The 14396-nt window shown below is 57.4% G+C and overlaps 2 protein-coding genes and 1 long non-coding RNA gene across 4 annotated transcripts, besides 4 other annotated features; 1 reads left to right on the top strand and 2 right to left on the bottom strand.

Annotated features, from left to right (window-relative positions):
* On the bottom strand, nucleotides 657–3044 carry LINC00106 (long intergenic non-protein coding RNA 106). Its single transcript, NR_130733.1, has 3 exons — nucleotides 2845–3044; nucleotides 1111–1244; nucleotides 657–702 (listed from the first exon to the last, which is right to left on the bottom strand). It is a non-coding gene; the product is annotated as a long intergenic non-protein coding RNA 106 (long non-coding RNA).
* Nucleotides 3188–8076, bottom strand: LOC124900597 (serine/arginine repetitive matrix protein 1-like). Of its 2 annotated transcripts, XR_007068469.1 has the most exons (4): nucleotides 7728–8076; nucleotides 4521–4939; nucleotides 3554–3697; nucleotides 3188–3459 (listed from the first exon to the last, which is right to left on the bottom strand). XR_007068469.1 is itself a non-coding variant. In XM_047442787.1 (3 exons), the coding sequence occupies exons 1-3, from the start codon at nucleotides 8074–8076 to the stop codon at nucleotides 3677–3679; spliced, it is 789 nt and encodes a 262-aa protein (XP_047298743.1). In that variant the 3' UTR covers nucleotides 3188–3676. The 2 variants fall into 2 exon arrangements, 1 of the variants encoding a protein (XP_047298743.1); XM_047442787.1 differs by having other exon boundaries at nucleotides 3188–3697.
* Nucleotides 7456–8058: an enhancer, noted in NCBI's record as "NANOG-H3K27ac-H3K4me1 hESC enhancer chrY:1460904-1461506 (GRCh37/hg19 assembly coordinates)". NCBI's record gives its function as "activates a minimal SCP1, AML or CMV promoter by ChIP-STARR-seq in primed H9 embryonic stem cells {active_cell/tissue: H9 hESC(primed)}" and the evidence as "EXISTENCE:reporter gene assay evidence [ECO:0000049][PMID:30033119]".
* Nucleotides 7456–8096: a biological region, named in NCBI's record as "NANOG-H3K27ac-H3K4me1 hESC enhancers GRCh37_chrX:1510866-1511460 and GRCh37_chrY:1460904-1461506".
* Nucleotides 7502–8096: an enhancer, noted in NCBI's record as "NANOG-H3K27ac-H3K4me1 hESC enhancer chrX:1510866-1511460 (GRCh37/hg19 assembly coordinates)". NCBI's record gives its function as "activates a minimal SCP1, AML or CMV promoter by ChIP-STARR-seq in naive and primed H9 embryonic stem cells {active_cell/tissue: H9 hESC(naive and primed)}" and the evidence as "EXISTENCE:reporter gene assay evidence [ECO:0000049][PMID:30033119]".
* Nucleotides 7956–13917, top strand: SLC25A6 (solute carrier family 25 member 6). The gene is made up of 4 exons (NM_001636.4): nucleotides 7956–8170; nucleotides 10342–10828; nucleotides 12650–12790; nucleotides 13310–13917. Exons 1-4 carry the CDS (start codon nucleotides 8060–8062, stop codon nucleotides 13465–13467), a joined length of 897 nt encoding a protein of 298 aa, NP_001627.2. The 5' UTR covers nucleotides 7956–8059; the 3' UTR covers nucleotides 13468–13917.
* Nucleotides 8097–8692: an enhancer, noted in NCBI's record as "NANOG-H3K27ac-H3K4me1 hESC enhancer chrX:1510270-1510865 (GRCh37/hg19 assembly coordinates)". NCBI's record gives its function as "activates a minimal SCP1, AML or CMV promoter by ChIP-STARR-seq in naive and primed H9 embryonic stem cells {active_cell/tissue: H9 hESC(naive and primed)}" and the evidence as "EXISTENCE:reporter gene assay evidence [ECO:0000049][PMID:30033119]".

Raw genomic sequence — 14396 nt, 5'->3', positions numbered from 1 at the left:
AGGCCGTTGTTGACTGAAGGGTTGTTACCTGGCACAGGTGACTGTGTATAATTCTGGACAGACTCCGTTTTTTTTTTGGTCTGTTTTTTTCTTTTTTGAGACAGAATCTCACTCTGTTGCCCAGGCTGGAGTGCAATGGCACGATCTTGGCTCACTACAACCTCCACCTCCCGGGATCAAGTAGTTATCCTGTCTCAGCCTCCTGAGTAGCTGGGATTACAGGCACCCACCACCATGCCCGCCTAATTTTTGTGTTTTTAGTAGAGATGGGGTTTCACCATGTTGGCCAGGTTGGTCTGGAACTCCCGACCTCAGGTAATCCGCCCACCTTGGCCTCCCAAAGTGCTGGGATTACAGGCACGCACCACCAAACCCAGCTAATTTTTGTATTTTTAGTAGAGACGGGGTTTCACCATGTTGGCCAGGGTGGTCTAGAACTCCTAACCTCAGGTGATCCGCCCACCTCGGCCTCCCACAGTGCAGGGATTACGGGCATGCGCCACCACACGCGGCTAATTTTTCTATTTTTAGTAGAGACGGGGTTTCACCATGTTGGCCAGGCTGGTCTCGAACTCCTGACCTCAGGTGATCTGCCCACCTCGGCCTCCTAAAGTGCTGGCATTGCAGGCGTGAGCCACCGTGCCCGGCCTGACTCATTTTTTTTTTTTTTTTACAATCACACATGGTGTCTCCATGGGAGGCCTAGATGAAACAAGAAGAAAATTTGGCTTTGATGATGAAAGGGGGAGTCCAGTGCGGTGGCGCATGCCTGTGGCCCTCACCGCGTGGCAATCAAGAAGGATGAGGCTTCCAGGCCCCTCCATCACACTGGCCTCAGCGTGGGGCCAGGCAGGACCTGACAGCCACCAGGAGATGCCACGGAGCCCAGCCCTGCAGAGCAGCCAGGCCTCTGTCCCTCCTACCTCCCTCCTCCCTCCCTTCCCACGTCAGCCTGGCCCGTAACTGTCCCTCCTTCCTCCCTTCCCACATCAGCCTGGCCCAGAGCTGGGGCGACAGCATCCCGGTCACCTCGGGCTGCCCCAGCCAAACTCCTCTGTCCTGTTCTGAGAAAGCAGGCAAAGTCCCTGCCTACAGGGTTCCCCCACGTACCTGCAGGACACCGTCTGTCTTACGGCACGAAGCCCAGGGCCTCCGTAGGGCTCACAGGCGGCTTCTAGAGAAGATGCCCGCCACAGGTGCTCTCTGCTCCATCTCAGGTGACCACTGGCCATCTCGGAAGAAACCTGCTTTGATGGTTTTGAAGCCTGAAGCTCCTTCCTCTCCAGCCCCTGCCACCCGGGGCGGGGAATGGGGACGGGATGCAGACAGAGGTGGGCCCAGCCCTCCAGGAGTTCTAGGGGCTAGGGACAGATTCCCACCACTTGGATGCCCAGGGAAGGCCCCACCCCAGATTGAAATGTTCATGGGTCCAAGAAGGTTCTGGGAGTCACCCCAGGAAGAGGCCGGCATGGGAGGTGCCTCTCGGTGGAGAGAATCAGAGGCGCCTGCCCTAGGGGGAGCCCAGGCCCCCCTTCGTCTTGGCTGCTGGGAGTGAGCTGGGGGGCCGCATGGTTGCAGCAGGGACCTCCGGCATGGCCTCCCTGTGTTCTGGTGCCCTCGCCATTTGCCCTTAAAGCAAGGGCCCGTGGAGGGAGTCCCCCAGGTGGAAGGAAGTCGGATAAAGGGTCCCTGGGGCTTGTTCCTCTCCCTCTCCCTTCAGTGTCTGCTAGAAATTTTTTTTTTTTTTTTTTTTTGAGACAGTCTCACTGTCGCCCAGGCTGGAGTGCAGTGGTGTGATCTCGGCTCACTGCAACCTCCGCCTCCCGGGTTCAAGCGATTCTCCTGCCTTAGCCTCCGCAATAGCTAAAATTACAGGCGCCCACCACCACGCCCAGCTAATTTTTTTGTATTTTCAGTAGAGACGAGGTTTCACCATGTTGGCCAGGCTGGTCTTCAGCTCTTGACTTCAGGCAATCCACCCCGCCTCGGCCTCCCAAAGTGCTCGGATGACAGGCGTGAGCCACCACGCCCAGCCCGTCTTTTTATTCATTGGAGTAACTGTGCAAAAACAGGACCTCTGGACTCTTAAGAGTCTGTGTGTGGCATGCACAGAACATCCCGAGGATTGTGATGATTTAAAAACCAGTGGGGTGACAAGGCTGGAATTCTGTGCAGGGCAGCCTGGCGGGCCGGGTTCACCCACTAACTCCTCCTCTACTCAGCGAGCACTGCACTATGAGTGTCTGGTGCATACCAGGAGTGTCCGTCTGGCTCTAAAACAGCCTCTGGATTCATCTGGGGGCCGGGGCAGGGGAAGCGGGAGGACAACAGATCCTAAGGATGATGTCGAGTACACAGCTCCTCCCTACCTGCCCAGCTCGAAGGCGCACGTCCAGGGAAGCTTTGCAGAGAGCCCTTTTCCAGGGTAAAAGTCTTAGGGGGCTCTTCTAGGGGGAGAGGTCTTGGGGAGCCCTCTTCCAGGGGGCAGGTCTTGGGGGGCACCTTCACGGGGGAAGTCTTCGGGGGCCTCCTTCAGAGGGCAGTCTTGGGGGGACCCCGTTCGGGGGGCCTTTTGAGGAGCCCTTTTCAGGGGGGTGACCCTGGGAGTCCCTTTTCAGGGATGAGGTCTTGGGGAGCCCTCTTCAGGGGCAATGCCTTTTGGGGGCCCTCTTCTGGGGAAAGGGGTCTGTCAAGCCCCCTCATCCTGCAGCCTCATCAGCCCTCCCCGGACCACACTTCGTACAGGCAGAGCCTCGGCAATGATTAATTACAAAAGATGTGCTGCTGCCCCCACCCGACACAGAGCCTGGCACCCCACCCCACCCCGCACAAAGCCAACCTCACCCCTGCTCTGATTCCTTCCCGGCCGTCCGATGAAGCCTGAAGTCTTCCCGTTAAAACACCTCTGCTTCTGGGCGGGGCGCGGTGGCTCACAGCTGTCATCCCGGCACTTTGGGAGGCCGAGGTGGGCGGATCACTTGAGGTCAGGAGTTTGAGACCAGCCTGCTTGGGCCTGGCACCCAGGATGTGCTTGCCAAATGCTTCTGGAATGGATGGATGGAACCCCATCTCTACTAAAAATACAAAAATCAGGCGTGGTGGTGCACACTTGCTATCCCAGCTACTTGGGAGGCTGAGGCAGAAGACATGCTTGAACCTGGGAGGCAGGGATTGCAGCGAGCCGAGATCACGCCACTGCACTCCAGCCTGGGCCACAGAGCAAGACTCCGTCTCAATAAACACACAAACAAAAAAACCCACATCTACTTCTATTATTAACCCACCTACTTTTCTGAGCCCCAAGGGGCTTTCTGGACAGATTCCAGCAGAGCGGCTGCTGGTCAGGCAGCAGTGATCTCTAAAGCTACGCAGGTAATTTTATCAGATGCTGGCAGAGAAGGGGTTCTCATGGGTGGGTACCTGGCAGGCGGATCGGGGCTCATTCCTTTCTTCTTGGTCCTTGGAGGGGCAGGGCAGTGAGAGACACAGCTCTACCCCCACTACCCAGCAGCTGTTGTCTCTCCCACTTCCAATTCCTGGGTGTGAGGCCCACCTGATCCTCCTTTCCCAAGGAGGCTGTGTGGCCCCAAAGGCCTCCCAGGTCATGCCCTAGTCAGGCATAGCAACTGTGTTGTTCCCTCCCAGATACGAGGGGCAAAGGAGTTAGTGTCCAAGGCTAAGTCCCACGTGCAGCACTCTGTATGGAAAAACAGCCCCAATTAGCAATTCATTCATCCATCCATCCATCCATCCATTCATCCATCCATCCATCTATTCATCCATCCATCATCCATTCATTCCAGAAGCATTTGCTGAGTGAGCACATCCATCTATCCATGCATCCATCCACCCACCCATTACCCATCCAATTATCCATCCATTCCAGAAGCATTTGCCGATCGAGCGCATCCATCCATCCATCCACCCATCCATTCCAGAATCATTTACCAAGCAAACACATCCATCTATCCATCCATCCACCCACTCATTGATTATCCATCTATCCATCCATTATCCATCCATCCATCCCAGAAGCATTTGCCAACAGAGTGCATCCATCCATCCACCCACCCACCCATTCATTATCCATCCATCCATTCATTCTAGAATCATTTGCCAAGCAAACATATCCATCTATCCATCTGTCCATCCACCCATTCATTATCCATCCACCCACTCATTATCCATCCATCCCAGAAGCATCCATTATTCATCCATCCACCCATTATCCATCATCCATCCACCCATTATCCATCCATCCATCCATCATCCATCCATCTATACATTATCCATCCATCTATCCATTATCCATCCATCCATCCATTATCCATCCATCCATCCATTATCCATCCACCCACCCATTACCCATCCAATTATCCATCCATTCCAGAAGCATTTGCCGATCGAGCACATCCATCCATCCACCCACCCATTCATTATCCATCCATCCATCATCCATCCATCCATCCATCTATCCATTATCCATCTATCCATTATCCATCCATCCGTTATCCACTCACCCATCCATCCATCCATCCCAGAAGCATTTGCCAAGCACATCCTGGGAGCCAGGCCCAAGCAGGCGGGCATCCTCCTGGCTCTGAGAGGAGCTTGAGCAGAGCCCACAGACAGCACCACCCTGCTGGCGGGTCACCAAGCCACCAAGCCAGTGCAGGCTGAAGGCTGAGCACACAGAGCACCGGTCTCAGTGTCTGGACATGGTTAGCCGTCCCCACCCGCATGGAAGGAAACTTCTTCTCTCCCCTAAGACAGGCTTTGCAGACTTGGAAAGGGAACGCCGTGTTGCAGGGCTCAGGCCTGGAGCCCCGGCCAGAGCAGATGCGAGCCAGCCTCATCTGGAAATAGCAGCTCTGGTCCCGGCCTCGCTGAGGCACTGAAAACCAGCACCAGGGCCCCGTCCAGCCCGGCCTCGCTGAGGCTGGGAAACAAACACAGGTCTGTAAGGCGCAGCTCCCCAGCAAACTCCCCACCCCTGCCCAGCACCCACAGCGCTCCTGGCCTCTGTCCTCTATTCCAGGACCCCTGTAGCGAGCCTGGCTTGGTCCTGGGTCCTCAGGGGACACTGTCCACCCCCGCTGCCCTGGCAGAGCCTCAGGAATGTGCTTGGTCTCCACAGCCCTCCCCACAGCAATGTCCCAAGGTTAGACCTACCCATGCCTCAGTGACTTCTGAGACACCCGTCCCGCCGCCCAGCAGCCACTCCAGCCTCCAGAGCTGGCCCCAACCTCCAGCCCCAGGCTGAGCCGCCCTCCCCAGAGGTCAGGAAAAGCCTCAGGCAGGGCTCACAGCTGCACCCAGGAGTCACCCAGGGTGACCCCGCTCTCTGGGGCGGGTCACTCCTGCCCACCCACAGCCGGGGACTGTCATTTTCTCAGTACACAAAGGAGAGAAAGGAAAAACAAGAGCGAGAAAGACACAGGGAGAGAAAAGGAAGAGAGAAGGAAAGAAAAAAGAAAGACACAGGGAAAGAAGAGGAAAGAAAAGAAGGGAGGAAGGAGGGAGAGTGGGAGGAGAGGGAAAGAAAGGGAGAGACAGGGAAAGGCAGGAAAGGGAGAGATGGGGAAAGGCAGGAAAGAGAGAGGCAGGGAAAGGCAGGAAAGAAAGGGAGAGACAGGGAAAGGCAGGAAACGCAAGGAAGCAATGGGAAGGGAAAGAAGTGAAAAGGAAGGCGGGGAGGGAGGGACGGGAGAAAGGGAGGAAAAGAGCAAAGGAGACAGGGAGACAGGAAAGAAAAAGGGGAGGGAGGCAAACGGGGAACGGGAGAAAAAGAAAGGAAGGGAGAGGGAATGATGGAGAAAAACAGGAGGGAGGGAGGAGAGAAGAAAAAGGAAAAGGAGGGAGGAGAGAGGAAAGAGGCAGGGAGGTAGGATAGAAAAAGACGGAGGAGAGAAGAAAAAAGAAAAGGAGGCGGGACGCAGTGGCGCACGACTGTAATCCAGCACTTTGGGAGGCCGAGGTGGGCGGATCACCTGAGGTCAGGAGTTCAAGACCAGCCTGGCCAACATGGTGAAACGCCATCTGTCCTTAAAAAAAAAAATAGCCGGGTGGGGTGGCTGGCACCTGTAATCCCAGCTACTTGGGAAGTTGAGGCACAAGAATCTCTAGAACCTGAGAGGCAGAGGTTGCAGTGAGCTGAGATCACGCCACTGCACTCCAGCCTCGGTGACAGAACAAGTCTCCATCTCAAAAAAAAAAAAGGAAAACAGGGAGAAAGGGAGAAACAGAGAGGAAGGAAAGAACAAGACAGGAAAGAATAAAAGGAAGAAGAAAAAGAGAGGCAAAGGGAGAGAGGAAAAATGAAAAAAAAATTAAAAAATGGAAAAGAGACAGCTAGGCGTGGTGGCTCACACACCTGTCATCCCAGCACTTTGGGAAGCCGAAGTGGGCGGATCCCCTGAAGTCCGGAGTTCGAGACCAGCCTGACCAACATGGCGAAACCCCGTCTCTACTAAAAATATAAAATTAGCTGGGCGCGGTGGCGCATGCCTGTCATTCCAGCTACTTGGGAGGCTGAGGCAGGAGAATCGCTTGAACCCGGGAGGCGGAGCTTGCACTCCAGCTTGGGCAACAAGAGCGAAACTCTGTCTCAAAAGAAAAAAAAAACGGAAAAGAGAGAGGGGAGAAAGGGACGAGAGGAAGGGAGACAGGAAATAAAGAGGAAAAGGAAAAGAGAGGGAAGGAGGGAAAGGCAGAAAAGGGAGGAAGGGAAGGAAAGAGGAAAAGGGAAGGAGAGACGGAAAGAGGGAGAAAAAAGAGGGAGGGAGCAAAGAAAAAACAGAGGAAGGGCGGAGGGAGAAAAGCAGAAAAAGGAAGGAAAAAAATGAAAAAGAGGGAAGAAACGTAGCAAGAAAGGAAGGAGAAAGGGAGAGAGAAATGAAAGAAAAAGGGAGGGAGGGAAACGAAGGCAGAGACGGAAAGACGGAGAAAAAGGAGGGAGGCGGGAAAGCAGCAAAAAGCAAAGGCAAGCAGGGAAGGAAGAGACGGGGAGAAAAGGGCGGGCGGGAGAGAGCCGGGAAGGGAGAGGAGGCGGGAGGAGGGAGGAGGGAGGCGGGAGGGAGGGAGGAGGGAGGCGGGAGGGAGGGAGGGAGGGAGGGAGGAAGGGCGGAGTGGGAGGTCGCGAAGGAGGACCCCGGCCGCAGCCCCCGCCGGGCAGACACGGGCACAGACACGGGGAAATAGGGGAGCCCGGGCGGGTGGGCGCGGCCCACGGAACCCCCAGCCCCGGCGCGGAGGGCACCGCGGGGTCAAAGAACGGAGGCCCAGAGAGATCCCCCCCCCACCAACCTAGGCCGGGCGCGGAGGGCGGCGCGGAGTCACGGATCGGCAGCGGGACTGAGCCGCGCCCACGTGGAAGCCGCCGCAGGCTTCGCGCGGGGCCCCCCGGGTGCACGCGGGCAGGGGCCGGGGTCTCCCGACGCACGACCCCGGAGAGTGTTGAAAGGGTCGGAGCTGCCCGGAGGTCAAGGGTCAAGGGTCGGGGGTCGGGGCACCACATGTCGCACATCCCGGCGGGGTCGCCGCGGCCTCCGGGAGAAAGCGGACGACGCACTCGGAGCGAACTGGGCATCAGGGTGGGCTTCTGACTCCGCAGCTGCCCTCCCGCCCGCTCGGGTACTGGCAGCGGCCTGACCTTCACAAGGTCAAGGCTGCCGCGGAACCCCCAGCGGCCCCTACGGCGCATGGGCGGGGCCTGGCTCCCGGCATACCTAGGGGTGCGGGGCGGGACGTCTCCGGGGAGCGCAGCCAATGGGCGCGGTTCGCTGGAGTGCGGGGCGGGACGCAGCGGGATTCCCGGCAGCCCTCAGAGGCGAGGCACGCAGGCTGGTGTGGGGCGGGGCCTGGCGGCGCAGCCAATGAGCGCGGCGCGAGGAGGCGCGGGGGCGGAGAGTGGGCGTGGCGTCGGCGTCTTAGCGGCTGCGCGGTGGCTGCTCCGTCCTTTCGGTCCAGGCGGCGGCAGGGCTGAGCCAGCGACGCCCTCCATTCACTCTCCGCGCCCGTTCTCCGGCTGTCCTCCCGTTCCGCTGCCCGCCCTGCCACCATGACGGAACAGGCCATCTCCTTCGCCAAAGACTTCTTGGCCGGAGGCATCGCCGCCGCCATCTCCAAGACGGCCGTGGCTCCGATCGAGCGGGTCAAGCTGCTGCTGCAGGTGGGGACGCGGGCGCGGCCGCTCCGGGGACTAGGGGACGGGAACCGAGTGGCCGGGTCGGGCGGGGACGTGGGCAGCAGAGCCTTGCAGGCGGGCGCCGGAAGTGGAAGGCCGCGATCGCTTTGTCCACGCGCCGCCGGCTTCCGGGGGCCGCGTCACGTGACCGCTGCTGCAGGGCGTGGCGACGTCCACGCGTGCGCACTGGGCCCGGCGGGCGGGGGGAAATGCGGCACGGATTGGAGGGCGCATGCGCGCTGAGCAGGGCCCATGGACGGACCCTGCGGCTGGCGGGCCTTGACCTTGAGCTCAATCCTGCGGGTCCCCCGGCTGGGACCAACCCTTCCGGTGGATGCCTGGCAGGTGTCTGCTCTTGCTCCCTCCACCGTGAAGGGTAATTCTAAGGCCAATAGGGCAACGAGCCTGCCCGCAGGTGTCCTGGAATAACCAGGATATGGTTATTGGTGGTTCTTACCCCCTTCTTAGCTCATTTGTGCAATTCTGATCCAGAGCAATGCATTTTTTGTCTTTTGGGAGAGGCTTATAGAAAGTAGCATGATGCCTAGGAACATTGCCGCCAGGACGTCCTTGCTAACGTTGTACTCCGAGTGACAGCTCGGTGATGGGAATGAATAGGCTTGGCTGCAAGGACAGGTCACGCCCGCGATCCCAGCGCTTTTGAGAGGCCCGGGGAGTATTGCTTGAGGCCAGGAGTTTGAGAGCAGCCGGGGCCACACAGCAAGACCTCACCTCAAAAAAAATTATTTTAACTTAACGAAGCAGGACGTCCCAGTGCATTGAGAGGCCCGGAGAGGATCGCGTGAGCTCAGGAGTTTGAGACCAGCCTGGGCAACAGAGCAAGACCGCATCTCTAAGATAATTTTTTAAACCTAGTACAGGGTGGCGTGTCCCGGGAGTTTGAGACCAGCCAGGACAACATAGCAAGACCCCATCTCTAAGAAAATTTTTAAAACTTAGCAGGCGGGGTGTCCCCGCACTTTGAGAGGCCCAGGGAGGATCGCCTGAGCTCAGGAGTTTGAGACCAGCCAGGGCAACATAGCAAGACCCCGTCTCTAAGAAAAAGTTTTAAACTTAGCAGGGCGGGGTGTCCCAGCACTCGGAGAGGCCCAGGGAGGATCGTTTGAGCCCAGGAGTTTGAGACCAGCCAGGGCAACGTAGCAAGACCCCGTCTCTAAGAAAATTTTTTAAACTTAGCAGGGCGGGGTGTCCCAGCACTTGGAGAGGCCCAGGGAGGATCGTTTGAGACCAGCCAGAGTAACATAGCAAGACCCCACATCTTAAAAAAACCTTTTTTTTTTTTTTTGAGATGGAGTCTCTCCCTGTCGCCCAGGCTGGAGTGCAGTGGCACGATCTCGGCTCACTGTAGCCTCCGCCTCCTGGGTTCACGCCATTCTGCCTCAGCCTCCCTAGCAGGCACCTGCCACCACACCTTGCTAATGTTCTGTATTTTTAGTAGAGACAGGGTTTCACCGTGTTAGGATGCTCTTGATCTCCTGACGTCGTGATCCACCCACCTCAGCCTCCCAAAGTGCTGAGATTACAGGCATGAGCCACTGTGCCCGGCTTAAAAAATTTTTTTAAACTTAGCAGGGCGGGATGTCCCAGCGCTTCAAGAGGCCCAGGGAGGATCACCTGAGCTCAGGAGTTTGAGAGCAGCTTGGTCATCGTAGCAAGACTCCATCTCTAAAAGTAATTTTTCAACTTAGTGGAGCTTGATGGTTGTGCATCTGTAGACCCGGGTACTCGGGAGACTGAGGCGGGAGGATGGCTTAATCCAGGAGTTGGAGGCTGCAGTGAGGTGAGATCGCACCACTACACTCAAACCCGGGTAACAGCATGAGACCTTGTCTTTTTAAAAAAAGAAAGAGCCGGGTGCGGTGGCTCACGAGGTCAGCAGATCGAGACCATCCTGACTAACATGGTGGAACGCTCGTCTCTACTAAATAAGCAAAAAAATTAGCCGGGCGTGGTGGTGGGCGCCTATAGTCCCAGCTACTCGGGAGGCTGAGACAGGAGAATCACTTGATCACCCCATTGCACTCCAGCTTGGGCAACAAGAGTGACTTGTGTCAAAAAAAGGATGCACCCTGTAGCTGGGATGTTTCTGGGTGGTTGGCCCTGGGTCTGGTCTGAACACCCTCTGCGTCCCCCAGGTCCAGCACGCCAGCAAGCAGATCGCCGCCGACAAGCAGTACAAGGGCATCGTGGACTGCATTGTCCGCATCCCCAAGGAGCAGGGCGTGCTGTCCTTCTGGAGGGGCAACCTTGCCAACGTCATTCGCTACTTCCCCACTCAAGCCCTCAACTTCGCCTTCAAGGATAAGTACAAGCAGATCTTCCTGGGGGGCGTGGACAAGCACACGCAGTTCTGGAGGTACTTTGCGGGCAACCTGGCCTCCGGCGGTGCGGCCGGCGCGACCTCCCTCTGCTTCGTGTACCCGCTGGATTTCGCCAGAACCCGCCTGGCAGCGGACGTGGGAAAGTCAGGCACAGAGCGCGAGTTCCGAGGCCTGGGAGACTGCCTGGTGAAGATCACCAAGTCCGACGGCATCCGGGGCCTGTACCAGGGCTTCAGTGTCTCCGTGCAGGGCATCATCATCTACCGGGCGGCCTACTTCGGCGTGTACGATACGGCCAAGGGTACGTGTGGCTGCCATCGCGAAGTCCCAGAGACGGGCTCAACACACAGACGTTCCCCCAGGGTCCTGTGGGCTGAAGGTCTGAGATAAGGTGTGGGCAGGGCTGGTTCCTCCTGCGGCCTCTCTCCTGGACTTGGAGACGCCGTCTTCTCCCTGTGCCCTCACAGCATCATCCCTCTGTGTGTGTCTGTGTCCTCATCCTCTCTTCTTATGGGATGTCTTAATCCATTTCAGGCTGCTATCACAGAATACCATAGACTGGGTGACTATAAACAACAGACATTGATTTTCCTACAGTCCTGGAGGCTGGAGGTCTGAGATCCAGGTGTGGGCAGGGCTGGTTCCTCCTGCGGCCTCTCTCCTAGGCTTGTAGATGCCGTCTTCTCCCTGTGCCCTCACGGGGTCGTCCCTCTGTGTGTGTCTGTGTCCTCATCTCCTCTTGTTATGAGATGTCTTAATCCATTTCAGGCTGCTATCACAGAATACCATAGACTGGGTGGATTGTAAACAGCAGACATTGATTCTCCCACAGTCCTGCAGGCTGAAGGTCTGAGACCAAGGCATGGGCAGGGCTGGTTCCTCCTGAGGCCTCTCTCCTGGGCTTGGAGATGCTGTCTTCTCAGGCTTTTTCCTGTGTGTGTGTCTGTGTCCTCATCTCTTGTTATGAGATGTCTTAGTCCATTTCAGGCTGCCATCCCAGAACACCATAGACTGGGTGACTTAGAAACAACAGACATTGATTCTCCCACAGTCCTGGAGGCTGGAAGTCTGAGATCCAGGTGTGGGCAGGGCTGGTTCCTCCTGAGGCCTCTCTCCTGGGCTTGGAGACTCCGTCTTCCCTGTGTCCTCACAGGGTCGTCCCTCTGTGTGTGTCTGTGTCCTCGTGTCCTCTTCTGATGAGATGTCTTAGTCCATTTGAGGCTGCTATCACAGAATACCATAGAGTGGGTGGACTGTAAACAACAGACATTGATTCTTCCATAATCCTGGAGTCTGGAAGTCTGAGATCAAGGTGTGGGGCAGGGCTGGTTCCTCCTGAGGCCTCTCTCCTGGGCTTGTAGACGCCGTCTTCTCCCTGTGTCCTCACAGGGTCATCCCTCTGTGTGTGTCTGTGTCCTTATCTGCTCTTCTTATGAGGTGTCTTAGTCCATTTCAGGCTCCTAAAACAATACTATAGACTGGGTGGCTTATAAACAGCAGACATTGATTCTCCCGGAGTCCTGGAGGCTGGAAGTCTGACATCAAGGAGTGGGCAGGGCTGGTTCCTTCTGAGGCCTCTCTTTTTGGCTTGTAGACACCGTCTTCTCCCTGTGTCCTCACAGGGTCATCCCTCCGTGTGTCTGTGTCCTCATCTCTTTTTAGAAGGACACTGGGGTCGTAGGATCAGGGCCCACCCTACTGGCCTCCTTTAGTCTTACCTCTTTCAAGACCTTATATCCAAGTACAGTTGCATCCTGAGGTCCTGGGGTGGGGGTGGGACTTCAGCATGTGGATTTTGAGGACAGAGTGTAACTCCCATAGTAACGGTGACCCTTCAGAAGGTCAGGGCCCTATTCCCTTCCCCAAACAGGCCTAACCCCGGCCTCTGGGACTGTCTTGCTGGGCTCCGGTAGGTGGCAGGCGGCCTTTTCCCCTCTGGCCCTGCCCCGACCTCTCGTGTTGTAAACGTCAGCTGGCACTGAGCAGCCACGTGGAGGGGGCACTGGTGGTCTCGGAAGAGCTCGGCACCACCTCAGGGGGCCGTGAGCACACCCTGGGGGCCGACCCTGGTCTCGGGTGGCCGTGCAGGCGCTGGAGACGGTGACGTGCCGTTCCCGCGCAGGCATGCTCCCCGACCCCAAGAACACGCACATCGTGGTGAGCTGGATGATCGCGCAGACCGTGACGGCCGTGGCCGGCGTGGTGTCCTACCCCTTCGACACGGTGCGGCGGCGCATGATGATGCAGTCCGGGCGCAAAGGAGGTACTCGGGGGGGCGGGGGACCCTTGCTGCCGGGAAGGGGAACCAAGCTCCTTGCCCTAGGCCCGTGGGAGGTCAGGAACCATCAAAGGAGGCACTTCCAGGGCGTGTGAGACAAGCAAGTGTGTCCGAAAGTAACCTGGCTGTGTGGAAGGATTTTCCTGAACGATGGGCTTCTGATCTTTTTGGGGTTTCATGGTCCGGGCGGCAGTTTCTAAATCCCCGCCTCCTAGAACCTCTGGTTGCACCCACACCCTCGATCCTGCCTTCTCTGCATGGACCCCGGGGTGGAGATGGGGGACACCCAGGGCGGGGCCTGAAGTCCTGTGTCCAGCCCTCCCTGAGACAGTGGCTTAGGAGGAGGGCTTGAGCTGGGGGAGCCTCAGGTATCCCTCCTGTAATCAGAACTGTGGCTCAGGCGTCTGGGGTGTTATTTCTGTGAAACGTCTTTGTGGGTGCAGGTGGCGTCCGTGTCTTGAAGAGCTTGGCGGCGAGGCCCTCACTGTCTCCCTGTCGTTGCAGCTGACATCATGTACACGGGCACCGTCGACTGTTGGAGGAAGATCTTCAGAGATGAGGGGGGCAAGGCCTTCTTCAAGGGTGCGTGGTCCAACGTCCTGCGGGGCATGGGGGGCGCCTTCGTGCTGGTCCTGTACGACGAGCTCAAGAAGGTGATCTAAGGGCCGCGGCCTCCTCCACACACACACACACACCAGGGGAACCAAGAGAACCACGTAGAATCCTCAACCGTGCGGACCATCAACCTTCGAGAAATTCCAGTTGTCTTTTTCCCAGCCGCATCCTGCCTGTAGATGGCCGGGGAAGGCTCTAGAAAAGGGGCGCATTGCGATCCAACCATCGGCAGCCGATTCCGTGTCTTGATCACGGGGTGGGAGGGAACCGTGGCGTCCCTGCGTGGGGCCCATGGGTGAGACACTCCAGTACTGAGACCTAGAGTCCAGATGCTTGTAGGAGCCAAGTCGTGTTCTAAGTATTTATTTAAAACAAAAGAATCACGTTTTCCCATTTGTACTTCAGCGCTAGCCCCTGTTTTGCACAGCCGAGTACTGGCGAGTATGTTCTATGTTGGGCCTCCTGCTGCAAAACAATAAACAGAGGACGCAGAGGTCCTCCTGCCTGGCCACGCACCTCTCCACAGGGCGGCCTGGGGTCTGGAGATGGGCGCTGGGCCCACGGGACGCAGATGGGGCCACGCTCTGCCCGTGGCTGGCCCACGTTCCTGGTCTGCAGTGCTGCCTCCTCCCCAGCACCCCTGGGGCACAGAGGGCAGGGTCACAGCTGGGAAGAGGCGGGGGGTAGAAACCAAGGCTGGCAGAAGTGTAGCCGGGCTCCCTGATAAATGCTGGAGGACCCCAGGGCACCTGCACTTACTGTACCCTCTCTGAGAGCATTTGTATGATCTCATGTCTCAGCTCTGGAGGCTGGAGGTCCCAGAAAACCAAGGTATGGTAGATTCAGTCTCTGGTGAGTACCCAGTTCCTGGCTTCTAGATGGCGCCTTCTCCCTGTGTGTCCTCAGATGATGGATGAGGCCAGGGTGCTCTCTGGAGTCCTTTCTGTAAGGGCACTGATCCCATCCATGAGGCCTC

The sequence above is a fragment of the Homo sapiens genome, chromosome Y (assembly GCF_000001405.40).
Source record: "Homo sapiens chromosome Y, GRCh38.p14 Primary Assembly".
Taxonomy (NCBI): domain Eukaryota; kingdom Metazoa; phylum Chordata; class Mammalia; order Primates; family Hominidae; genus Homo; species Homo sapiens.
Note: the sequence above shows the minus strand (reverse complement) of the source record. Positions and strands in the feature narration are given on the sequence as shown.